Below are 27,358 nucleotides of genomic sequence, written 5' to 3'. Positions count from 1 at the left end.
CACCCTTCTATAGGACTCAGGTTATAATGAGGAAAGGAACTGAACCTGCAAACTTTGGCACAAATTCTAAGACACTTGAATTGAGAGTCAAAAAGAGTATAAATAAATAAATACTTCTGAAATTTTGTGCACCTCTAAAATTTGAATATACTAATTTGCTATCACAACATATCCGGCCTAGAATACTACAGTTAGTGAGAAAAGGATACAGCTTGTTTAATATGCTCTCATATTAGAGAAAAAAAATTCACCTGATTTCACCTGTTATCATGTACATGATAACACGAACTCAACTTTTGAAGAAAAAAGTCACCTTTCTGCTTTTATTATAATGATTGTTGTGACCTCTTCTCCAGTGCCATTTTGTCCAGCTCCAGTAGTCATGTGAAACGGTGGAACACGTGCCCTTAGAACCCAGGTTGTTCCCAACTATGATCTCCATTAAAGGAATCAGGGTTCTTTGATGAGCAATGTATCCCATGTTTGAGAAAGAATAATTCAAGCTGAGTTTTGGGGTATCTTAACTATTATCACAAAGGATGTTTTCAGCAGTTCCTGGGGAAGGAAGGAGGTCAAGTTGACAAGAGGGTTGCTAACCACAAGTAGAAACAATCTGAGTATCAACTAGAAATGATTACACACCCAGCATAAATACTAAGATAAAGAAGACTAACAACCACACATGCTGGAGAATGTGTGGAGCAAGTGGAAGTCTCCTACATTGCTGCAAGCATGTAAAATCGTACAATCCTTTGGGGAAAAGGTCTGGCAGTTTCTTATTAAACTAAATATACACCTACCCAAGGACCCGAAAATTCCATCCCCAGGTATTTACCCAAGAGAAATAAAGACACATGTTCACAAAAGAATTGTCTAAGAATGTTCATAGCAGCTTTATTCATAACAGTAAAAAACAAGCAGAAAGAGCCCAGTGTCCATCAACAGAAAGATAAAAAAACAAACTGTGATATATTCATACGAAAGAATACTCAGCAATAAAAAGAAATGAATCACTGACACATGCAACAACATGAATAAATCTCAAAAACATTATGCTAAGTGAAAGAAGCATTACATTTTGTATAATTTCACTCATATGAAGTTTAGAACAGGTAAATTTAACCTTTGATATAAAAGAATGAGAACAGTAGTTATACCTGAGGGGTGGGGAGGGGATAGACTGGGAGAGGGATTTAGGAAACTTTCTGAAGATGATTGCAATGGTCTAAATTTTGGAAAGGGTTTGGGTTACACAGGTGTATATGTCTGCAAGAACTCAGTAAATTTATACTTAAGATTTGTACATTTTATTGCAGGTAAATCTTAAATCAAAAAAATTTAAAAACTAAATAAATACTAAACTCTAGTTAATAATCTGCAGTTGAAGTACTAGGGGGAAGTATATCAGCAACTGCAATTTATTTTGAAATCCATCAAAAAGTACGCTGGATAGGAAAATAATAAAACAAGTAGAGTAAGATGTAGAATCCCCGTGGTCAGTATTTACTATAAAATTCTTTCAATTTTACTGTATGTTTGAACATTTTTCATAATAAAATGATGGGAAAAAGACCTCAGTAGGTCTTATCTTTCTATTGTATGTCCCTTGTTTGAAATAAATTATTCTTTCTGCAAGATACAGATTTGATAGCAACACAGGGACCAGAAATTAGCTCCCTGGGATTCTAAAAGATGGATGATATAAGTAAACATGGTAAGAAGGAGAAGAAAATATAAAAATGATTAATATGGAAGCCAAATAATATGAAAACTACTAATACTGATTATCACCACAAACAAAGGGAAAGTACCTTTTAATGACTGCTAACCATTGAATGAAGAACTACATTTTCTGTCAATTTATGTGTGACTTGTATCTTACCCAAATTTGTTCAAAATTTAGACACTGAATCATCAGTAAAAAACGATTATTAAGCACTTTCCTACATATCTAGTATTATAGTTGTTGGTATGCTAAATTGGGATAAAATAACATGCCTTGCCTTTTGAGAACTTTGGAGGAAATTTGGCACAAGTTCATGCCGAACAAATCTGGTTATGTTTCCCACCTCTGCACTGACTAGTTGTGGGACCCTGGGCCAATTAACTTCTGTGAGCCTCACTTTCCTCATTTGTACAAAGGGGAAAGATAATGGCAGTTCATACTTCATGTGGTTATTCTGAATATTAAATGAGACAACCCACTTTACTTATACTGTATCACAGTGACTAGTAGATAGAAAGTGCTCAATAAATATATTATTTAAAAAAAGAACTGTAAGATACAAAACTTTCAATTGGTGGAAGAATGTGAAGTGCCTTAATTTGTCTAAACAGAGCGGTATCTCCTCACTAGGTAGCACAAATAGTAAATAGGATAGGATTTGTTTTGTTTTCTCCCAGAGTTGTGATAAATATTGTAAAAAATTGAGGAACAATAAGCTTGCTGCATTGATGCTCTGAGAATGCAGAAACTTAGATCCAGGAGTGCAATGCAGAATGCACCTCTTTTCAGCGTAACGTCTGTACCTGCTGATGGAAGCTACCCTGCTTCACCTGGGCTTGCATTAAACACTCAGAATTGTTACCCATAATGTTTTGTACCTGTCACTAGTACCTGTTAAGTAGGTGGGCATGTAGCTAGAGTCTCGAATTAAAATATCAGGTAAAGAGGGGGTTTAGGTAGGGCAGGAAGACATTAATGTCTGGCAGGTGGCAGAATGAGCAGCTGTGTGACACTCTGGCGAGCTGGGAAGCATGCTTCATTGTCTCTCGCTATGTGTGGTATCCAAATTCCCCACATTCTTTGCTATCTTCTGTATCTTCTGGCATCTTTTTACCATCTATCTTGTTAACAACCATGCAGCCTACATTCCCACATACTGTTGCAACTGGCTGAAACTAAGCAGTAGCAGCTGCTCCTTTTAGTTGGGGCATAGCTCTCCTGTTTGTTACACTGCCCACAACTCCTTACTGTCTTTCACATGAGGTATATTTCCTGCCTGGCCTGGATGGCATTTGGACCCTGGTCTAGTTAGATTTAGGCAGTGGTGACATACTGGGGGTTTCTTAGTGGTAAGTTATATCTAGACCAGAAGTATTCCACCATCTACCCCCAGCAAAAAAGCAGCCAGGAATTCAGCTATTTCTCAAATGCCTTTCAGAATAGACGAGTTCCTTACTATCATTTCATAAAAGGAAGGTGATGACTTAAAGGAGAAGGAGAAACTCAATAATCACCTAAAAAAAAAAATCTCTGACATGACTGAAGTCTTAAGACATCCTATTCTGAAACACTCTTGGAAATGGAGAATGAACACTCTACTTTTACACAGCATTGCAGCTGCTTTGAAACTCACACAACATTGGTTTCTTTCTTTAGTACTTTCACTGGCCTCTTACTGGTCTTGTTTTTCAAGATGTAAGTTTACTGAGTGGGACTATTTAGATACAGCTAGTGTCTAATTGAAAGTATGGGGCAATGTCTAGCACCAGGGCAGAACTGGGAAGAATTCACATCATTCTTAACATGGCATCAAGCCAAAACTGAAAAAAAAAATGGAAAGATTTTAATATAAATCATCCAAGCTAAAAATTCCATATTTTAACCTTAAACTTGAATCAGCAATGATTGTTGCTGCTGTTTCCTTCCCTTATTACCAGTTATTCTTTTGAGGTTACATCGGATAAATGTGCAGAACATGCGAAATGGAAGCAACTGAATTTCTCAAACAGGAAGCACAAAGAAACATTTTCTCCCTTTACTTGGGTTGCCTTTATTTAACATTCTAAAGAATGATTATTAAAAGTCAAGGACCATATTTAGATCTTTCCTAACAAAGAAGAAATAATGCTTGTTCCATAAGTAAGCCAAAAATTTTCTCTGGTTAATCAGGTAACTCCCAAGCTAGTAAGAACTTCTTCTGGGACTCTTTATCCACTTTTCTACAGGAAACAGAACTACTGCAGGCAAGGGTACCTTTATCTTATTGCATAAGTATGCAAATATTGCCTAAACAAGATCAGAAAACTCACTAAATGAGTAGAATGGTGAGATGAGAACATCCTTAGATACATTAAGAGCTAAACAGGATGCAAATCAGAAAACAATTTCACTTAAGGTTTGCTTGGAATCTTTTACATTAGCCTATATAGAAACACAAATATTCAATGTGAACATCAAGCCAAGAGAACAAAACCAAGGAAGAAAAGATAATTTGGGAACTAGAACCAATTCCTGATACTATATACAAATACGAAACACATATAAATACATATATAAGATTTTTAAAAACTGTGATGACACATTTTGGGCTCAAAATAATGTTCTCACATAACACATCTCATTTCTCATCCTTAAGCAAAGTTTGGTATAGAGGATATAAGATTTCTTTCTGCATGTTTACTTTTGTCTCTCCCTGTCTTTCCTAGCCTTAACAAACAAAATTCCATACCATCCTTTAAGAACTCATCAATGACCCACCCCATCAATGACTTAACTCCTCAACAATTGGAATTAACCTGTCCTTTTCTGTTCCCAGCATTTTATATTTGCATTACCACCTAGCTCAAAGCTGCAAAACACTAAACTTCTTGGAACAGTATTCTAAAAAACCTTTAAAAAAAATGAAGTCCTCACCATCTTTTACAGCAAGAGTTTAAAAAAGAAGTCATAGTCATCTGAAGTCAACACAAGACTTTTTTGGAAAATACTGGAGAATGTGCCATGCAGATAATAAAATGGATTGGACGCAGCTGCTGGGGTGTTTGGCTAAAAGTCTCTTAGGTTACAATTATCTCACTCTTTTTAACAGCTTCTGTTTATGGTTTCTTCTTCTTCCCCAGTGTCACATATCATCTGGTAAACATAGCAGCTGAAGACTCTGTTGGGTTTCTGCTCTATGTGTAGCACCAAGTCTCTGTCAAAGTAGACTTCATGGCTATATGTCTGTAACAAAACACAATCATATGGAGTCCTTTTCACACAGCCATATTCACTACTGTGTTACTAAAATGTCACAGTACCTATGCTAGGGATCTTCAAACATACACTTAGAAGAAAATAGTTGCTAGAAAGAGGTTTATTTTTCATTATTTGTGGATATGCAGATTATTAACAAAAAAGGCATTCTACAAAATATAGAGAATAAAAAGAACTCTGGACCCAGGAGTCTAAATACCCAGATTCTATTGCCAACGCTGCTATTATCTATCTCACTGTGTGATCATTTACGAGGTGCCAAACTTCCCAGGTTCTCCACTGATAAAACAAGACCTGGATAAAATGATGTCTATTGTTCCTTACAACTTTGACATTCTATAATAGTTGAAATATCAGACAAATGTATACAAGAGTACCTGGGAATCCCGCATGCTTAGATATGGTCTCTAGTAAATAATTGTGGGGATTACCGTATTCTCTTATTTTAAAAAATTTTTCCAAATTTACAATTGAAAGAAAATCAAAGACTAGGGTAGGGAAAGAGACAACATGTCTCAGGAAAACACATGAAGTTTTATCTTTAAGGCCACTGGTAAGGATCCCCTAGTGCCCAGGGGAGGAAGGCTTAAGAAGTACTCTTTTGTCCTGTATATAGGACAAAACCTCTTTCACATGGTCATTGGCATAGGTGAGTCTGGACTGACATGAACACAATAACATCTGTTCTAATAAATGGCACCTATAAAGGAAAGGTTTACAACTTTGTATCCCACGGACTCTACTCACCACATCCCATGACTCCACTAGTGGAATGCTTTTAAGTAAAGTTCCATATTCATTACAGTGGAAATCCAGGTGAGCTTTTCCTTCAGCATCTATTTGAGTAACAGCTACCACAGAAAGCAAATCTAACTCATCTTCATAGTCCACAATTTTGAAAGTCTTTGGGATAGATAGATAAAATAGAGGGAAAGGGGCAAAATCCAGTTATTCAGGTAGGCTTATTTCTGTATTTATAGTTTAAGTATTCTATTACTTACAAAAATATGGGAGAAGAATGAATGAATGGGAAGAATAATAGGTAGAAATGTATCTGTTTATATGCCTAGTAAAACATCAGCTCCAAGATTTTCAAGAGTTAAGCAGTATCCTACAGATTTGATAAACAAAACCAAGTCTATGTAGATCTCAAAGTATAATTGAAATTCTCCACAGTGACAGCAAATCAGAGATTCTCTAAATTTAAAAGAGTATTCAACTGCTGCCTCTCACAAGTGTGTTTGCTGATTCCTGGACAGGACTAAACACATGAAGCTCGGTTCTGAAACCTAAAGACTGCTCACTGAGCTCTGAAATTTCTCACACCAGAAAAACACAGTCATTTCTAGAAGGACGGATAACCCATCATACACTATTTATGACTTTTTACCACCTTTAAAAAAAAATCCTTTTGGTTTTTTAAATAAAGCAAAAATGGCTGCTTATACTTGAGGGAGAATATTAGGAAATGAAATCCAACCCACAGAACAGGACTGGGACAAGAGGGTTAGCTATGGTAAAGAGAGAAAAATCCCAGAACTGTGTCTCAAGGAAGAAAACCTGAGACTCCAGAAACCTTGCACGGAAAGCAGATCAGTGCCCAAGCATCCAGGAATAGACCACAGGAAGGTACATCTTGGCTGAATGCCTGGCATCAACTTTAAAGACAGGCATAGCATGTTTCCCTCAATCACTATGCACTAATTCTTCACCTATGTTTGGTCAAACTGCTCTCTAATCCACTGACATTTTCTGCCTTTACCACCCTAAGACATAAAAATTTATATGGATTTATTACGTTTGATTATTAAAATGTACTTTTACGTTATTTCCTTTTTGCCTTCACCTTACTATGGTCAAACTTCAAAGGGTGACTTCTTGCCTTGGTGTCTGTGATTTTATAGATTTTAGTCACTATTTCTTCAAACTTTTCCTTTACAGGCTAAAATATTTTGTTTTTTAATCTCATGATACAGAGCATCTCCTGTTTTGCCACCACCTCTCCCCCCTTAATGAATTATGCTACCTTTTGGAAATTTTAGTACATCTTTCTGGAATACAGTTTTATATGCAGAGTATGTTGCTTTCTTCTTTGTTCTCAATAGGTTTGTATGGTCCAAAATAATACTTTTTTGTGTGTTTTTTTGAGAACAGCTACATACTGGGCCACCTCTAACCTATTTTAAAAGAAGTTCAAAAACTGTCCTTGGAAGGCCACTCTAATGTTTCTACCTAAAAATGGTCCTACAAATAATATAGTTAGATAGTCTAAATGGATTTAGAATTTACACAATGGTTTATATGTTTAAAGCATGATCACTATCAGTTGATTTCATAAATACTTCCAATGCCTTTTTAAAGGAAGGGGATAAAAATGTATTACTTCAGTGACTCATAAAACCAACTTGAAGATAAGAGCTGAACTGATTTATCATGCCCTCACATCCTCTTCCTCTGGACTACGGACATTAACAAACATATTCAAGTCTAGCAAGTAAAAAATGAGGCAAAAACCATAAAGTCCTCAGGATATAACTCAAGAATTTTCCCTTAAGAGATTTCCCTAGAAAATATACACATCAACAAAACAAAACAATACAAAATAAAACAAAACAATAAGCTAATCGTGTTTTCAAATTATTTTGGTCCTATCAACTTTTCTGCAAATAAAACTTTAAGAATAATTACAATATGAAAAGAGAGGATGATGGGTTTGCACTGGTTGAAATAGCATGCGCAACCCCACCCAACTGGCCTGCCTGCAACCCCTCAACCCCAACCTCTACCCCAGGATATGGGGAAGTATTAATATGAAATTCACAATGCAAGGACACACTGGTTTGGTTTGTCATCTCTGGCCAAAGCAATACCTCTTGTTCTGGGTCATCATCCAGAAGGTTAAAACTTTTTTTTACCACCCGTCCAGAAGCTGTAACAGTGAGTACATTTTCATTCTATCATATGGAAAGAAATAAAAAGATATGACAAGTTCTATTACATGCAGTCAAAGGTAAAACTGTATTAACAAATTTGGTAAAACTTACCAACCCTTCTCCCACATCCACAATTCTTTCCTCAACTGAGAAAATTCTGAATCAGATTTCTGATCCTCCGTTTCATATTTTGAGACAGGGTCTCATTCTGTCGCCTAGGCTGGAGTGCCGTGGTGCGATCTTGCCTCACTGTAGTGGCACAATCTTGGCTCACTGCATCCTCTGCCTCCCAGGCTCAAGTGATCCTCCCAGCTCAGCCTCCCCAGTAGCTGGGGCTACAGGCATACACCACCATGCCTGGCTAATTTTCTACTTTTTGTAGAGACAGGGTTTACCATGTCACCCAGGGTGATCTCGAACTCCTGAACTCAAGCAATCTGTCTGCCTTGGCCTTCCAAAGTGCTGAGATTACAGGTGTGAGCCACCATGCCCGGCTCAAAAATACTTTATTAAAGTTTTTAATGGCTAAAATGCCAGAATGGGCAAAAAAAAAATTATTTAAAAGATTATAGATTAGCTGCCTCATTCACCTGACTTTTGCCTTAGTATATAGCACAGCAAATAAAAAGTGGATCTGTTTTTGAAATTGTTCTCCCCATAATTTTCTTTGTGGTCTTAATTTATACACTAAAAGAAAAGTACCATCTGGAGTTAAAGTATGGTATGTGATTTTTAAAGACTTATATATTACCCCAATTAAATTTAAGTTTGCACAATTAATTAGACCCAAAGGTTGATAATTCATCAATAAAAACTTAAAAGGAAACTCAGAAAAGAAGCGGAAATCAGCAAAAGACAAACTCAAGATAGTCAACTTTCTTTAAATCTGAAATGTACATGGGGCTAAAACTGGCTACCCATGTAGACAAAATGTACAGACTTTTATAGGGCTGTGCTGTTGTTTTCTGCTACACTCAAAGGCAAATATATTAGCATATTATAGTCTTATATAGAAAGACAATGATATATAAAGGATTTTAAAGTACTCTTGACTTACTTTATGGTTCTCCCTGTTGGCCAAAATGACAAAATCTTCAGAGATCTGATGCTGAGAACTATTATTTTCTATTTCAGTTAGCTTCAAAACTCTGAGAAGGGAAAAAGGATTCTGAGAACCTAAGACTTCAAAACACCATCAAGGTGCCAAAGTTTAAGTACTGAAGTAAAACTCAACAAATAAAAATTATAGTAACACTGAGGTAGTTCTCTTGATTAGTCTACAATACTAATAAGTGATCACTAAATGTCCATGAACTCCTTCAAATTCGGAGATTCTGTTAAACAGAAAAACGTGGGAACTGTGACAACAGGTGCCACTGAAGTAGGTAATGATCAGCTTGGTCAGGCCTAAGCTATTTTCCAAACTGGCTTAATGAAAGTTACTCTGAAGAACCTTACCTCTGCTATGCTGTAACAGGTCTCTAACATTTCAGCTCTAACAATTAAAGCAGATATTTGCATTTTTATTTCTGAAGTAGGATGAGATATCTATGAGCAACACTTAGGGTTAACTAAAAAGAAATTCAATCAGCAATTAAATCTATACCTAAATAGAAACTAAGAGTTTTCATGATAGATTAATATTTAAAAACTACAACTGAAAATACTATTCTTTTTTCTTAGGATTGGTTATATTTAAAGATTTGGGGGTTTGGAGTGCAAATGGCCTCATGGATCAAGCCTATTAAAAGAAAATAAAATAATTTGCTCACCACCCACAGAAATCTGTTTACATTGTTAACAAGCTTCAAAAGCACAATGTTTTACAAGCTCAAAGTCTCAAATGCAAAAAAAAAAAGAACAGCAGAGAGAAGCAGCTATGTGTCCAGAGAGTGCTGGAGACCTCAGAGTTCCCAAAGACCAAGAGATCAAATAATAATTTAAATTATTCACTTAGTTTTTTTAGTGGCAATATTTTTAAATGCTTATATTGTAAAACCTGGCAAAAGGCCATACACTCTTCGTGGGCCTTGTTTTCTTAAGTTCAAACTAATATGGGTGGTAACAAACATTAAAAGTAAGGCTTACTGAAGCGGAACCACAGTTTAAAATGTGTAAAAATAATCTTATTTCATTAAATCCTTTCATCTTCCTTATATTAAATAGATCCAGAGAGGTAGACTGATTACTACGAAGCATAAAAAATAAAGGCAGACACTTCCCTTTGTTATTTTTTATTTTTTAAGAGACAGGGTCTTACTCCATTACCCAGGCTGGAGTACAGCGCTACAATCATAGCTCACTGCAGCCTCGAACTCCTGGGCTCAGCTGATCCTCCTGCCCCAGACTCCTGAGGAGCTAAGACCACAGGTGCCCACCATCATGCCTGGCTATTTTTTATTTTTTGTAGAGACGAAGTCTCACTATGTTGCCCAGGCTGGTCTCAAACTGCTGGTTTCAGGGGATCCTCCTGCTTCGGCCTCCCAAAGTGCAGGATTATAGGCCTAAACCACCAAGCCCAGCCCCTTCTCTTCTTATTCAACAAATACTGAGCATCTACTCTGTGCAAAGGACTATGCTTAGTGCTGGGGTTATAGGTGTCAGCAAAACAGACTCTTTCCCTGTCATCATAGAGTTTATGATACCAAATAAGTTATTTAAGCAGAAGATCACAAAAATAATTTATTTAAGTTGCCCTAAGTGCTACAAAGGAAGACGACACAGTGGGTGCAATGAAAATATGATGGGCAAGCAAATCTAACAAGGGCATCAGGGAAGGTCTGTGGAAAAGTGACATTGAAGCTGGGCCATAAAATATGAATAGAAATTAGGCAGAACAGGTAGGGGAAACAGACTTCAAACAGAGGGAACAGGCCCTCAGTTTTCTGAAAAGACAGCATGACTAGAGTAAACTGAGTTGAAGGAGGGTCTTTCGGACCATGCTAACTATATTGGTTTTTATCCTAAGAGCAATGAAAAGCCATTAAAAGGTTAAAGCATTTGAATTCACTTGCATAGGTTTTTATATTTCTTCATGTTCTTAAAAATCATGCTAGCTGCTGAGAAGAAAACAGACAGCGCAAGAGTGATCCTGGAGCCCTGGAGTGGGCTATTACTGTAGCCTTGGCTAGTGATGACAGTGACCTGGCCAAGATGAAGACAGTGGCCAAGGGCAGAAACAGGCAGATTTAAAAAATATTTTGTAGCAAAATAAACTGGATTAAGAGGATATATGGTGTGTATGTATGAGAGAAAGAGAATGCCTGTAAGTGTTTAAATGTATGTACATTGATGAAAGACAAATTGGTAAGAAGGTATCAGGAATGATTCAAGATTTCTGGAATGAGTTTAGATGAGAGGTTGAGGCTGGTATATACATTTTGGAGTTCTCATGTATACATGATCTTGAAGCCAAAGGAATAAATAGAATCATGCAGAATGGAAACAGTGAGAAAAGAAGAGGGCTTAAGACCCAACTATGGACATTCAACAATTAAAGTCTGGGTAGAGAAGGAAGAACATGAAAGCAAACTAAAAAAGATAGATGAAATAGGAAAATATTCAGAATTGTGGTGTCAGGGATGACAAATGAGAAGTGTTTAAGGGAAGGAGAGGTCAGTTTGTGGGAGTTGTGTGTGCCCTGAAACCAATCAAAATAAAACAAGATTTACTTCAAACAATCTACTTCCTTTCCTGTGTCTAGGCTGCCTTTCAGAACAAAGACAAATACTCTTCTTTCTTATTAACCCTATAGAATTAACTAAGACCTGATGAGAAAGGGCCAGTCTGTAATTCCCTTTTACTTGCATATCATCCATCAAATAACGTTTTCAAATTTAATATTTACAAACAGTAATGTTGAGTCTCAAAGAATAAATTCAGGTGTTCTGTATGCCAGTCTCTGAGGAAGCACCCAACAACAAGCTAATTATTTCCATTAATTGGCTCACTAGTTCGCTGGCAAAAATAAAGATGCCAATAAATGCTACCAAAAGCTGCTCTTAACTTTCAAGTGCTAATGAGATTACTCACTTGACTTGATTTGGACCAACATGTATTATTCTACCAGAAGCATCAGGATGGAAATAGATCCAGTCAGATTCTAGAGAACAACAATCCATTTCTTGGATCCCATTTTTTGCCTGAAGTTGGAAAAAAGTATTAAAGACAAAGATTAAGGGAAAATCAAATGATTTTACAAATCTAACCCAAGTGATAGATCAGTAGGTCAAAGGTACACGGAAGAAAAAATATTAACCAGTTAAAGTGGAATATATTTGAGGGCCAAATGAGGACATGCAAATTTGAGAAATTCTGAACATTTAAATTCAGAAATGTCATGGATTTGTTCTGTAACATACCCTATATCTCACAAACAGGAGTTAATAACCCAAGAGATACCATATCTCAAGCATCTACTTTGTGTCAGGAACTGCGTTTGATGCTTTATAGGCACTGTTTCATTTAATCTTAATAACACTCAAAGGAAGTACTGAAAACTGATACACAAATAGAATAAATCATTTGCCCAATTTTTTTTGGTGTATGTTGTTTGTTTTTTTTTAAATAGAGATAGAGTCTCGCTATGTTGCCCAGGCTGGTATCAAACTCCTGGCCTCAAGTGATCCTCTCACCTTAGCCTCTTAAAGTGCTAGGACTACATGCGTAAGCCACTGCACCTGACCTTTTCCAATATTTTCAACCTACTAAACAGCAGATCTGACTCCAAAATCCATGGACTTTCCATTATATAACTCTGCCATAATCATGCACATGCAGTTCTCCACAACTTCTTCCTCTCTTCCCTATCCCCAACTATCTTTCAATCAGAAGAGCAGATAACAAAAAATGAACATGTAAACAAACCTAAAGCCTCAGACATGGGTCACAGAATCTTGGATAAGTCAAATGTTGAACTCTAATATCTGAGGAAATGATCTAATACTGCTTAGCTTTTAAGGCAAGAAGAGATTTCACTGTAGTATATTTAGAAATTAAAATAAAGAAAAAAACCATCTGATATGTTATCACATGTGTACACAAATGTATTACCTTATATCCAGAAGCACTGGGAACGAACATCAACTTGGATATATTAACTTCACTGGCTTTACAGAAGTCATTTAATTTAATTTCTCTAATGTAAAATGAAATGATGCCATATTTCCTACTAGATATTCATGAGTTTTGAAACACTAAAGCTTTTAAATTCCATTAGCATATATTGATAGGCTACTATGTTCTAGGTATCAGACTAGGCATTCATACCTCACATCAATTAAACATAATCCTTGTCATCAAGAAGCTTATAGTCTAGGGGGAGGCAGAAACATAAACAAAAAATAATAACGCAGTTATTGTGAGCTATGATTGTGCCACTGTACTCCAATAAGTGATTGACCCATGCACCAGATATCCAAGTGAACAGAATTTTGGGAGTTAAAAAAAGGTTGAAATGAGCCTTAAAGGATAAGTAGAAAATAGCTACAAATAAGAGACAGTAAAATCGAAAGTACAGAAGTGTTAATCGGCCGGGGGCAGTGGCTTACGCCTGTAATCCTAGCACTTTGGGAGGCCGAGGCAGGTGGATCACTTGAGGTCAGGAGTTTGAGACTAGCGTGGCCAACAAGATGAAACCCTGTTTCTACTAAAAATACAAAAATTAGTGGGCATGGTGGTGTGTGCCTGTAATCCCAGCTACTCAGGAGGCTGAGGCAGGAGAATGGCTTGAACCCAGGAGGCAGAGCTTGCAGTAAGCCGAGATCGTGCCACTGCACTCCAGCCTGGGCAACAGAGTAAAACCCTGTCTCAAAACAAAACAAACAAAAAAACCAAAAGTATAGACGTGCTAATCCATATAGTATGCATATAAACATGAGTAGGAGGTAAAATTAAACTGAAAAGTAGCATCCAGCCATGATACTGGAGAGGTAGGCTGGGGTTATATTGTAAGTGCTTTCTATGCCATGATTTATTTTTATTTTTTATTTTTTGAGACAGGGTCTCACTCTGTTGCACAGGCTGGAGTGCAGTGGTGTGATCTCGGCTCACTGGAGCCTTGACCTCTTGGCCTCAATCAATTCTCTCACCTCAGCCTCCCAAGTAGCTGGGACCACAGGTGTGCACCACCACACTTGGCTAATTTTTGTATTTTTTGTGGAGGCAGGGTTTCACCATGCTGCCCAGGCTGATCTTGAACTCCTGGGCTCAAGCCATCTGCCTGCCTAGGCCTCCCAAAGTGCTGGAATTACAGGCATGAGCCACTGTGCCTGGCCTCATGATTTTTAAATTTTTTGGAATGTAATACATTTTATGTATCAAATCAATTAATGAGTTTCAATTTTTCAAGAATTTCTACAAGAATCCTAATTATATCTAATAGAAATAGTGGTATTATTACATTTTACATAAAAGAAAATTAATGTAATTAAATATGTTGATTGATTGTAACCACTGAAATTAATGTGTCCATGATGGTATTAGCTCCAGATGCTCCTTTAATACAAAATATGCACATACTATACATATCTTTTTAGGAGATTGTTCTCTTTACTGTAATATCTAATTAAAATATGCAAAAAAAGATTTTTGTGTGAAATACTGGGCAGCTTATTATCAGCTTCTATTGTTTTTATTTGCTCAAATGTTAGATTTTAAAGCTCAGTTTAATAGAGAAAGCTATGAAACATTTTCTGAAATCTTAAGTTCGGCTGCTTACATTTTTTTTAGTTATCTACTCTTCTGACTAACAGGTGGGGAGTTAATAGGCATACAAATCATTAAAGCAATGTCACAGTGATAAAATTGTGATAAAAGGACTAAAAACTTCCCCTGAATTTGGCAGCTCTTTAAGAGTATGCTGAAATATAGATTGGAATAAATGTTATAATCAGTTATTATAGAAGGAGAGTATGTGACAAGCATGCTTGATATACATGTTGAAGGCCATTATTTAGATTTAAAGTAATTCCTTGGAAACCACAGGGGATTGCTTCCAGGACCCCTCACAAATACCAAAACCCATGGATGCTCAAGTACCTTATATAAAATGGTGCAGTATTTGCATATAATCTATGCATCTATGCACATCATCCCTTATACCATCCTTTTTTTTTCTGAATATTTCCAATCCATAGTTGGTTGAATCCACAGATGTGGAACCCACGGATATAGAAGGCCGGCTGTATCTGTACGTGTGCGTGTGTTTGTGTATGAAATAATAGGTACTATCAGTTCTTATAAAAAAGAATACGTGTTAAATGTCCAGAATGTGAACTGTGCAGGATTTCACTAGATCCAAAGTTAAGTGAAAAAGGGATGTGACAGGTCCTGGTGGCTGAATGATGTCCACTCACTGGGAGGTGACCAATCAAACCAAGACTTGTCACAGTGGAAAACAGCCCTTAGAGAGTCCTTTATAAAAGAGAACGTCACTGGGCTGGGCCAAATAGGAGCAGCCATGTGATAAGTACTTGGGGAAATGGAAGGGAACAATGCTCCTACAAAAGAAAACTAGAAGACACATTGTCCCCTGATGGCCATGACATCAAGGGAAGTGGACAAATGGACCCAACGCTATGCTGACCTGCAACATGGTAAAAGGTGATCTGTAACGTGCGTGGTGAAAGGTGATCTGTGACTCTAAAAGCCACTGGAGCCAACAGTGACTGATTGAGCAAGGTCAGCATAAGCTGAACCTGCCTCAAAAAAAAAAGCAAATTCTTCTGATATATCAAGAGGGAGGATCACTTGAGGCCAGGAGTTTGAGACTACCCAGGGAAACACAGCGAGGCCCCATCTCTACAAAAAATAAAAAAGTAGCCAGGCATGGTGGTGCGCTCCTATAGTCCCAGATGCTCAGGAGGCTGAGGTGGGAGGATCACTTGAGCCCAGGAGGTTGAGGCTGCAGTGAGCTCTGATTGTGCCACTGCACTCTAGGCTAGGCACCAGAGTGAGACTCTGTCTCTAAATAAATAAATATAAAATAAAAGTAGTGTTGCACTGACATGTCCACATGAAATGAGAAAAAATATCAACAATTAAAGCTTGAGTGATTTTTCTATAGTGCTAGCTATTCAGGAGGTTGTGGCAGGAGGATCACTTGAACCCAGGAGGTTGAGGCTACAGTGAGCTGTGATTGTGCCACTGTACTCCAGCGTGGATGACACAGTGAGATCCTGTCTTGAAAAACAAACTAACCAACAAAAAACATAATCAGCAATACAAAATAAAAATGGAACTCCCCCCTTAACTCACTTTTTGCACTTATCACAATCACTGTACTTAATACATTGCATCTTATTTTTCTACATGTTTCCTTTAAGAGTATAACTTGAGGGAAGAGATTGTGTCCTTAGTCATGTCTGGCACATGGTAGGCCCTCAATAAATGTTTATTAAATGACAAATCAACGCCTAAGCCATTTTTAAAAAGAAAATAAAAATGAATTCGAAGGGTAGAAATTTCCATTGTTTTACCACGTACCATTTCTACCTACTCTGCCATAAATAACTTAAGAATATCCTTAAAAATTCAAAGTGCTTCAATTTACCTACACTGTGACCACCAGAGTTCCATCTGGTTCTGCTCTGGAAGGCAAAGAGCAACAAGCCGTGGAGAAGCAGAACCAACAACACATTCCACCAGCAATTTCAGAAGCAATGTGAACACATTCCATTGGTGATTCCCACTGTGGAGAGGTTTTACATGAGATTCCTTGCTGGGAGATTGGTGAGATTAAAAAAACTATAAAATTCTTGTTGCTATAAGAATTTTCAAATGTTAACGTTTTAAAATTATGGGTGATACACACAAATGTTTTCTATATTGTCTGTATTCTTCTGTATTTTAAATTGTTTGCAAATTGTTAATACAAATGCACAAAAAAGTAATTCTTAGGAATGTGGGCCTATTTGAGAGGTAGAAAATAAAGAACTTGATACAAATTTGCTAATAAAAAGTCTGATCACTCATTTACCAGGGAATTGTCTTTTAGGGCACAAATATGGAAAACTCCTTTCTGTTTCTTCTTATTAGGTGTGACGATGTAGTGCCAAGGATGGCCTCCAATCTGAAAAGCATTCTCCAGGGATGACACCTCAAAGAGCAGTGGTGGCATGTCTGTAGAGACAGGAAAAGGAATTCATTAGCTGCACTGTTCTGGGGGCTCTGGACTATTCATTAACTGAATTCAACCTTTCTTTGCATGCAACATCTATAAATTTCTATTAATGAAAAATTACTATGTTCAAGGAAATAAAATACAATCAGGTAAGGAGTTTATTGTAAGAAAAGAAACAGCCAGTCGGAACCTAAATTAGGCTGAATCAACTTTCTAGGTATCTGTTTTCAGGAGGTATATGTGGCCCGCAGGTGAGTAGAGATTGAAACTGGGCTAAAGGTGTTTATGATGGTAAGAAATGACAAAGTACATTTAATAAAAGTAGCGGACATTTATTGAACATCTACTATGTAAAGACTCTGGGTTAGATACTATTTCCAACTCTCATAATAATCCTACAAGGTAATTAGGTCTAATAATGCCTTCAAATGTGAGGAAGAGATCTTCCACATCCTGGACTAACAGGTATACTCAGGTATACATCTATCTTGCTTAAGATTTCCAGTACAGAGGAGTATTAGTCCCAATGAATGTAACCACTTAGGAAAGGGCCTGTCACAATGAAAGCTTTATTACAGGATAGTCACTACTACCACTATTATCATCAGACAAGTTAACTTTAAGGTAGTTCAGATATATCCAGTCAGTTTCTTTTGAAGACTGACACTGTAAAATAAATTTCTCTTGGTGCTAAAAAGCACCAAGAGAAATTTTTAGTCATCTTCTTTTATCACAACTTTAAGTAGGGCATAATAGATCTATTCTTAGATGCATAAATAGAAGGTATAGCAATTTTAGAAGACCTGAATTCATTTCAAGCAGCCTTTAGGAAACACCACATGGTCTGTTTGGGCAGGTGGCTAACCTATGACTGCCTTATTTACCCTCTAACTTGAGAATTTAATTTTTAGTTTATGAGGCCACTACTATTAGTAAAGGGGCTTGTCTTAGGAAGATGATTCGTGTAAGAGTCACATGTTATATACAGAAGTGCATACTTTATTAAGCATCTTCATAAGGACAATGTACTACTTAGAGCTATACATGGGAAAAAAACACAAATGGTTCACCCTTAAACAACATGAGGGTTAGGGGCACCAATCCCCTGTGTAGTCAAAAATCCACGTACAACTTTTTTTTTTTTTTTTTTTTTTTTTTTGAGACAGTCTCGCTCTGTCACCTAGGCTGGAGTGCAGTAGCACAATCTTGGCTCACTGCAACCTTCACCTCCTGGGTTCAAGCAATTCTCATGCCTCAGCCTCCTAAGTATTACACAGCCTCCTAAGTATTACAACCTCCTAAGTATTACACCTGGAATTACGGGTGTATGCCACCACACTCAGCTAGTTTTTGTCTTTTTAGTAGAGACAGGGTTTCACTACGTTGGCCAGGCTGGTCTCAAACTCCTGGCCACAAGCGATCCGCCTGCCTCGGCCTCCCAAAGTGCTTGGATTACAGGTGAGCCACTGTGCCCAGCCAAACTTTTGACTTCCCCAAAACTTAACTACTAATAGCCTACTGTTGACCAGAAGCCTTACCAATAACATAAATAGTCAATTAACACATAAACTAGTATCTACATATGTTTGATGCACTCATCATGTACCTTTTTCTTAATTTTTTCCATATTTCTAGGCTATGCGGTTCATCTGTGATTTTTTTTTTAATTGTGGCAAATCTCCAAAAAATTTTCCTGTATTTATTGAAAAAAATCTGTGTATAAGTGGACTTGTGCAGTTCAAACCTGTGTAAAGGGTCAACTTTCATAAAAAGTGGTTCACAAAAAATCTTGAGGAAAAAGAAGAGACAGGCATAAACATATCAAATATATGTCAAGTGCTTATTTTTTTAATCTTTTAAGAAAAGGGTAGTATCTTTAATATATAAAGGTCTTTTAAGCAATAAAAAATATAAACACCCCAATAGAAAAAGGGAAAAAGGCATGAGTTGGTAAATTATAAGAGAAATACACACATTGTATGTGATGATATGGTGGATGAAGAAGAGAAAAATTATTAAAAGAAAAACATACAATTAGAGTTGGAATTTGGGGTTGAAATCAACTAGGTATGTTATAGAGAATGTGAAATTTAATATATAAAGAATATGAAATTCAATATAGAGGACATAGGAATTCAAAATAGAAAAAAAAAAAAAAACAGTACAAACAGATGTACTTAAAAAGAAATACCTTTCCCAGTAAATGCAAAAAATGACCCAAAAGTAGCACTATTACTCTGCCCACAACTCTAATGTGCCCTGTGAACCCAAGAGCCCCAATTTTGATCTCTAATATTCTCAATGAAAAAGGCCTAAAAATTCTCAGAGTAGCTGATTCCATGTCTTGTGGTAAGAAAATTTTATGATGGGTGTGGACAATCTGTTGTTTCGAGAAAGCAAGGATGTTCACAAGGATATCAGAGAGAAGTATTAAAAGAGTAGGAGAGCCAGCAAAAGGGCTTCCACTTCCTACATTGTGAAAAAAAGGGGCCTTAAAAAGAAAACAAATATTATGATTAATTAAAATACTTAAAATCTGTGAAAGGTCAAATAATACTTTAAAAGACAATTTTAACATAAAGCATACAAAATAACTTTACTATTTATCAAAGAAGAAGGGCTACACCTGTAATACAATATGATTTTTTCTAGAATTTTTAAATGTAGGGGATAATTAACTTGATATATTTCTTCTACCAAATAAATGTTTACTTAGAAAATTTGCCCAGGTGTGGTGGCTCACGCCTGTAATCCCAACACTGCAGGAAGCCAAGGTGGGTGGATTGCTTGAGCCCAGGAGTTCGAGACCAGCCTGGGCAACATGGCAAAACCTCACCTCTACTAAAAATAAAAAAATTTTTTTTAATTTAGATACATGTTAAGTAAAATTATAAGGTATAGAACAGAGGATATGATATACTGCATTTGATGTAAGAAAGAAGATTAAATATTTAAAGTATGCAAACATAAATTTGCTTATTTTTGCAAAAAGAAACAATAGTAAGATAAACCAGAATCTAAAAACAATGGTTACTGATGAGAGTAACAGGATTAAAGGAAATAATAAAAAATAAAAACAGAAAGCAATGAAATAGAAAATGGGGCTGGGCACAGTGGCCCATGTCTGTAATCCCAGCACCTTGGGAGGCCAAAGTGGGTAGATTGCCTGAGGTCAGGTGTTCAAGACCAGCCTGGCCAAGGTGGCAAAACCCCACCTCTACTAAGAATACAAAAAAACAATTAGCCAGGTGTGGTGGTGTGTGCCTGTAGTCCCAGCTACCCAGGAGGCTGAGGCAGAATTGGTTGAACCAAGGAGTGGAGGTTGCAGTCAGCTGAGATCGCGCCACTGCACTCCAGCCTGGGTGACAGCAAAACTCTCAAAACAAAAAGAAAAGAAATTTCCAAGAGTGTATCTTTTTATTCGGTTTCAACCTTTCAACTATATACACATTTCACAATTTCAAGAATAAACTCAAAAGGAAAACAGCAAACCCCAAAATCGAAAACAAAATGAAACAAATGAATCTAATTAGGTCATGCTGGTAGCTTAATCCTATAGAAAAATGATTTCAAATCGCCTTTGAACACATCACTCCATGTGTATACTTACTGGGCTGTACACTAAGGAGAAAAGAAACTGCAGGGAAATCTTAACCTTCACCCCATACTTTTTTTTTTTTTTCCTTTTTGAGACAGAGTTTCACTCTGTCACCCAGGCTGGAGTGCAGTGGCGCAATCTCGGCTCACTGCAACCTCCACCTCCCGGGTTCATGCGATTCTCCTGCCTCAGCCTCCCGAGTAGCTGGGATTACAAGTGCACACCACCACGCCTGGCTAAATTTTTTCTATTTTTAGTAGAGACAGGGTTTCACCATGTTGGCCAGGCTAGTCTTGAACTCCTGACCTCAAGTGATCCACCTGCCTTGGCCTCCCAAAGTGCTGGGATTACAGGTGTGAGCCACCGCACCTGGCCCATACTTTAGTTCTTAGTAGTAACACTGGTACTGCAATTTTAAGACTATCATATATATATAGTAGGATAAAGTTTTATTAGAAATCAAGAAGCTCAGTATGAGTTAAGAGAAATACAAATATAATCAAAAAAGAACGGCTAAATTTGGAAGTATGAAAATGAGCTAATGAATTTTTGTTTTAATGTATTTCTCAGCTCTGTTCATTTAAAGGACCTAAAAGTAAAGATATCCAACTGCAATGAACACAACTAGATCTGGGTCTCTGTTGTGAGTTGACTTGTGTTCCCTCAAAAGATATGTTAAAGTCCTAACCCCCAGTACTGGTAAATGTGACTTTATTTGCAAATAGGATCTTTACAGATATAATCAAGTTAAGATCATACTGGATAAGGATAGGACCTAAATTCAATGACTGGTGTCCTTATAAGGAGAAAGAGATTTGAAGACACAGAGGGAGAAAGGCCATGGAAAAGTGAGAGGCAGAATTTGGAGTTATGCTGCCACAAGCCAAGAAACACCAAAGATTGTGAACAACCACCAGAAGCGAGAAGGGGTAAGAAAGGATTCTTCCCTAGAGCCTTCAGAGGGAGGCTACCTCTGCCAACACCTTAATTCTGAATTTCTAGACTCCAGAACTGTGAGAGAATCAATTTCCATTGTTTAAAGCTGCCCAGTTTGTAGTGTTGCTCTCTAGGAAACTGAGAGTCTCTAATGACGTTCTCTAATAAAATGGCCCCCTATCAGAAATAGGAAAGTTAAAGGTAAGCCTGGGACACATTATTGTTCTAGAAAGCGAGGAAATTCTCTAAGATTACTGGAGTGTGTCAAAATGGAGTTTCTGTTGGCCAAATTCAGGACAATTTGAACATCATTAAGAATAATAACTATTACTATATAATATTGGACAAATAAAAAATCCACAAGTCTATTGTGTTTATATATGTGTGTTTGTCTGTAAAACATTTTGCTGGCATCAAAAGTGACTATTATACCAACTCCTTGCTCTGAATATTGATAATTAAAGGGAAGAAATAAGTCTTTAACTTGCCTTTTGGAAGGAAATACAGTTTATCTCTAGCTGATGAGTTAAAGCTTTTATTTCTAGAAAAATGCCAGCTATTGAAGGTAAAAGCAGTAACAGAGTTTTAAAAACTGCCATTCTGCAAATCACATGACATAACTGATTCAGGCAAGGATCACTAATAGTTATAGAAATATGCTATTTGTAATCACAAAATTAGAAACAAACTAAATGTCCAAAGTAGGGAACTGGTTAAGTAAATTATGGTTCATTTGTAAAATGGCATATAGGTCAAGTTCTGAACATCTCAAGGAGATGCACACACACAGAACCACTTTGTCACATAGGTAATACAAGCACTACATTTTAGAAGTATCAGAAGATATAATGAAAACTAAGTCTTCCTTTGATCTGTATCTCTTCCGATTTATCAAGTTTTTATGTGTCCTTTCAGATATTCCAAGCAAATCCAAAAGCACATCACCATATATATATTCCTTTAATACATGAGTATGAATACTTTACACAATACTTTACACAAATGAAGATTTTTATATACACAGTTTTGCACCGATTTTTTTTTTTTTTTTACTTAATAGTACACATCCTGGAAATTATCCTATACCAGTGCAAAAAGAATTCTTCTTTCTGTTTTTTTTTTTTTTTTAAAATCTCGCTCCATCGCCCAGGCTGGAGTGCAGTGGCGCAGTCTCACTCACCGCAACCTCTGTCTCCTGGGTTCAAGTGATTCTCGTGCCTCAGCCTCCTGAGTAGCTGGGATCACAGGTGCTCGCCACCACACCTGACTAATTTTTGTATTTTTAGTAGAGACAGGGTTTCGCCATGTTGGCTAGGCTGGTCTCGAACTCCTGACCTCAAGTGATCCACTTGCCTCGCTTCCCAAAGTGCTCAGATTACAGGCATGAGCCACTATGCCCAGTTAAAACTCCTCCTTCTTTTTAACAATTTAGCAATTAAATTTGTGATACAGCTATATGGTGATATAATAATACTAATGCCACTTACCAATGTATAGATTGTTTCCAATCTTTTGTATACGATGATATAATAATACTAATGTCACTTACCAATGTATAGATTGTTTCCAATCTTTTGCTATTAGAAACAATGTTTTAATTGTACATTTATCACTTTCTGTACAAGTGAATATATCTGGGATAAATTCCTAGTACTGAAGTTGCTGGGTTCAAGGAGTACACGCATTTAAAATTTTGATACATATTAACAAACTGTCATATTGACAAATTGTTGGGGGCCATAAAGGGTCCCAACAATAAATGAAAGTGCCTAAACTTTTACCAACCATATTGTATCGAAAGTTCTAACTTTCTGATATTTAAGAATCTGAAGAGATGTTATCTTATAATAATTTTAATTTACATTTGTCTTATCAGTGACATTGAGCTTTGCACTCCCCTAATTAAAAGTCATTTATATTTCTGTTTCTTTTAAACAATATCCTTTGATCATTTTGTAATTGTGTTATCACTCCTTTTCTTATTGATCTATAGAACCCTTCACATATTAAGGAAATTGCCCCATTACAGTATGATTTGTAACTATGTCTCCTGTTGTTATTTGAGTTGGTTTATGTTGTATATTTCTGGGGATTTTTTGCCATGCAGAATTTTATTTTTATATAATCAAATTTATCAATCTCTTCTTTTATGGCTTTGGGTTTTGTGCCATACTTAAAAAGGTCTTCCCCACACTGAGATAAAAAGATTCTCCCAAGTTTTCTTCTAAAACTTTTAAGTCTTTGATCCATCTATTATTTAAGAGTGAGATAGGATTACAACTTTGTTGTTTTCACAAGGCCACCTATTAAATAATCTAGATGGAAATACTCATAATATATTAACATCAAAAAGTGGGTTAGGCTATAGATACATGCAACAACATGAAACGAATCTCAAATATAATATCCTGAGTGAAAGAAGCCAAACCAAAAAATACATGCCATGTGATTTCATTAATATAAAACTCCAGAAAATATAAATTTAATCTACTGTGAAAAAAAAGCAGATCACTGGTTGCCTAGGGCTGGGTTAAGAGAGGAATTTACTGCGAAGAGCACAGGGGAACTTTTTGGGATGATGAAAAGATTCTAAATCTTGACTGTAGTGGTGATTTCATGGATGTATACATTTGACAAAACTCAAACTGTACAGTTAAAATGGGTGCATTTTAATTACATGTAAATTATACCTCAATAGAGTTGATTTCTTAACAAGTGAGTTATAAAAGAGCACTTATGGTATGATTCTTTTCTTGGTTTTAAACATATAGAAATATATACATTATAAGATTAGAAAATTACACATCAAGGAGATAACAGTTAACCCCATGTAAGAGGACTATAATGTTTTACATTTTCTCTTTTGCTTATCTTTATTTCCCAATTTTTAAATTTTATTTTATTTTTTCTTTTTTTCTTTCCTTTTGAGACAGAGTCTTGCTCTGTCGCCCAGGCTGGAGTGCAGTGGCACGATCTCGGCTCACTGCAACCTCTGCCTCCTGGGTTCAAGCAATTCTCCTGCCTCAGCCTCCTGAGTAGCTGAGATTACAGGCTAATTTTTTGTATTTTTGGTAGAGACGGGGTTTCACTGTGTTGGCCAGGCTGGTCTTGCACTCCTGACCTCAAGTGATCTGCCCGCGTCAGCCTCCTAAAGTGCTGGGATTACAGGCATGAGGCACCACGCCTGGCCAATTTCCCAATTTTTTAAATAATGCAAAGGAACTGCTTTTGCACTAAGAAAAAAAGTTATTTAAAGTTAAAATAAATACTATTTGTATAGACCTTAAGATTGAAAAACAAATTTGGAGAAATGAATGGGATTTAAGTCTCTACAGTATGAAATAAACACTGAAAGCTTCCAATATAATGTGCTAATTTTCTTAGTCAAACATACAAAAATCATTGAATTATTTTTTTTTACAATGACAAATGATTTCATAGATCATGTTTTCAAATATTATTATTTCAAAGTTTCAAAATTTGAGGCCCAGAGAGGTTAAATAACTTGCCCACTATCAGCTGGGCACAGTGGCTCATGCCTGTAATCCCAGCACTTTGGGCGGATGAGGTAGGCAGACTGCTTGAGCCCAGGAGTTCAAGGCCAAATTGAGCAACATAGTGAAACACCATCTCCACCAAACAAAAAATACAAAAATTAGCTGGGTGTGGTGGCATGCACCTGTAGTCCCAGCTACTTGGGAGGCTAATGTAGGATGATCACTTGAGCCCAAGAGGTGGAGGTGGCAGTGAGCTGTGATCTCTCCACTGCACTCCACTCTGGGCAACAGAGTGAGACCCTGTCTCAAAATTAATAATAATAATAATAATAATAATAATTTGCCCACTATCATACCACCAATTAGTAGCAGAGTGTCACCCTTACTAGTCAGCAGACTAAAATTCTGATCCCAAATCCAGTCTTCTTTCTAAAAAAAGGGATAAAACTCCAGGTCAATTCTTCAGGCTCTATGTACTTTGTCTTTATCATCTTTGTTCTTTTGTTTTACTCACTTTTTTTTTTTTTTTTTTTGAGATGGAATCTCGCTCAATCGCCCAGGCTAGAGTGCAGTGGCACGATCTCGGCTCACTGCAACCTCCATCTCCTGGGTTCAAACAATTCTCCTGCCTCAGCCTCCCAAGTAGCTGGGATTACAGGTGCCTGCCACCGTGCCTAGCTAATTTTTGTATTTTTAGTAGAGATGGGGTTTCACCATGTTAGCCAGGCTGGTCTCGAACTCCTGACCTCGTGATCCACCCGCCTCAGCCTCCCAAAGTGCTGGAATTACAGTCTTGAGCCACTGTGCCCAGACTTTACTTACTTTTTATTTGCATTTCAACAAGAAAAATGCTACCATTTGGAAAAACTCTGTCCAAAATAACCCATTTCAAAATAACCTGGTTACCACTGCAGCCTACAGTTTTAAAATTCTTAATAGATTGCTTTTAATGTATTTGTACTGAATACAGGAGGTATTGCTAGAGCTGAATTTTCATACAACTGCCTAATTCAGTTTGTCCAAGGCATCTAAAAACTTGAGTAATTTTTAAAATATTTATTTTGAACTTCATGAATAACTTACTTGAACTCCCAGTAGTTTTTATAATTTGTCATTTACTACCAAAAATAATATTTTTTTCCTTTTGAACAATGACATCATTCATTTCTGTTTCTTGGTCTATTACTAATACAATGTTAAGGAAAAATGATAGAAAAAATTCTTATCTTATTCTGCATATATTAGAAAATCCTTTGGCATTTCACCTAAAAATATAATGCTTATTGGTTGGTTATAAATAAGAGGAATGTGTTCAACATGATAAGGAATGAGTCTTAATGAACAAGAATTAAGATAAACAGATATTAGGATAATAAAGAAAATTTTCTCTTTTAGTTTACTCATGTGATCTTTATAGCTACTAAATTTGTAAACATTAAACCATCCTTGGATTCCTGAGATGAACTCTGAACAGTCATGATCTATTTCTTTTAATGTACTACTACTGAATTTGAGTAATAGTTGATTTCTTTTCTTTTTTTTTGAGATGGAGTTTCGCTCTTGTTGCCCAGGCTGGAGTGCAATGGCATGATCTTGGCTCACCACAACCTCTGCCTCCTAGGTCTAAGTTATTCTCCTGCCTCAGCCTCCCTTGCGAGTAGGTGGGATTACAGGCATGTGCCACCACGCCTGGCTAATTTGTATTTTTAGTAGAGATGGGGTTTCTCCACGTTGGTCAGGCTGGTCTCAAACTCCCAACCTCAAGTGATCCGCCCGCCTCAGCCTCCCAAAGTGCTGGGATTACGGGCATGAGCCACCATGCCTGGCCAGTTGATTTCTTTTCTAACAACTGAATTTCATAAGCTAAATATAGAACATTTTTACTATATTTATAGACTTGTATATAATTTTCTTTTTGTGATTTGGCACTCTTTAAGTATACTGGGAAGTTCTGTCTGTGTCTAAGCTCTATGTTCAGATGTCATGGTAAAAATTTTTTCTTGGAAAACACCTTTCTTAGAGAGGGGGTAAATTTCATCGAATTGTAAAATACTAAGTTATAAGAGAGCTAAGATGGTATCATTTGCTGCAACTCATTTTGCAGATAAGGAAATCAAGGATCAGAAAAGTAAAGTGAATTGCTAAAGGTCTGTGGCCAAGCAAGGCTCAGCATCCCCAGGCCTTTGGTTCAATGAATAACTGACAGATTTTCCTCGAAGCTTATTCATTATTGAATAGCAAGGCACATGATGTATAGGAGTAAAATGAATTGAGTTTTTTAAATAAATGAGA

At 36.7% G+C, this 27,358-nt stretch overlaps 1 protein-coding gene across 13 annotated transcripts in view; it reads right to left on the bottom strand.

Moving 5' to 3' along the window:
* DCAF17 (DDB1 and CUL4 associated factor 17) overlaps positions 870-27,358 on the bottom strand; it is a 50,827-nt gene continuing 24,338 nt past the window's right edge. For 3 of the 13 annotated variants that reach the window (NR_028482.2, NM_025000.4, XM_006712768.2), the window contains 6 exons: positions 16,892-17,034; positions 11,947-12,056; positions 8,972-9,062; positions 7,852-7,935; positions 5,729-5,884; positions 870-4,948 (listed from right to left, as the gene is read on the bottom strand). Coding sequence is in view for 11 of the 13 variants with exons in the window: in NM_025000.4 (NP_079276.2) it covers positions 4,808-4,948; positions 5,729-5,884; positions 7,852-7,935; positions 8,972-9,062; positions 11,947-12,056; positions 16,892-17,034 (725 nt within the window). In the remaining 2 variants the exon portion in view is untranslated. Of the gene's footprint in view, positions 4,949-5,728; positions 5,885-7,851; positions 7,936-8,971; positions 9,063-11,946; positions 12,057-16,271; positions 16,604-16,891; positions 17,035-25,422; positions 25,496-27,358 lie in introns of those variants that run through there. The other 10 variants (XM_011511881.2, XM_011511882.2, XM_047445911.1 and 7 more) reach the window with 10 other exon arrangements.

The sequence above is a fragment of the Homo sapiens genome, chromosome 2 (assembly GCF_000001405.40).
Source record: "Homo sapiens chromosome 2, GRCh38.p14 Primary Assembly".
In the NCBI taxonomy this organism is placed as follows: Eukaryota; Metazoa; Chordata; class Mammalia; order Primates; family Hominidae; genus Homo; species Homo sapiens.
This window is presented reverse-complemented; position numbering and strand designations above follow the sequence as displayed.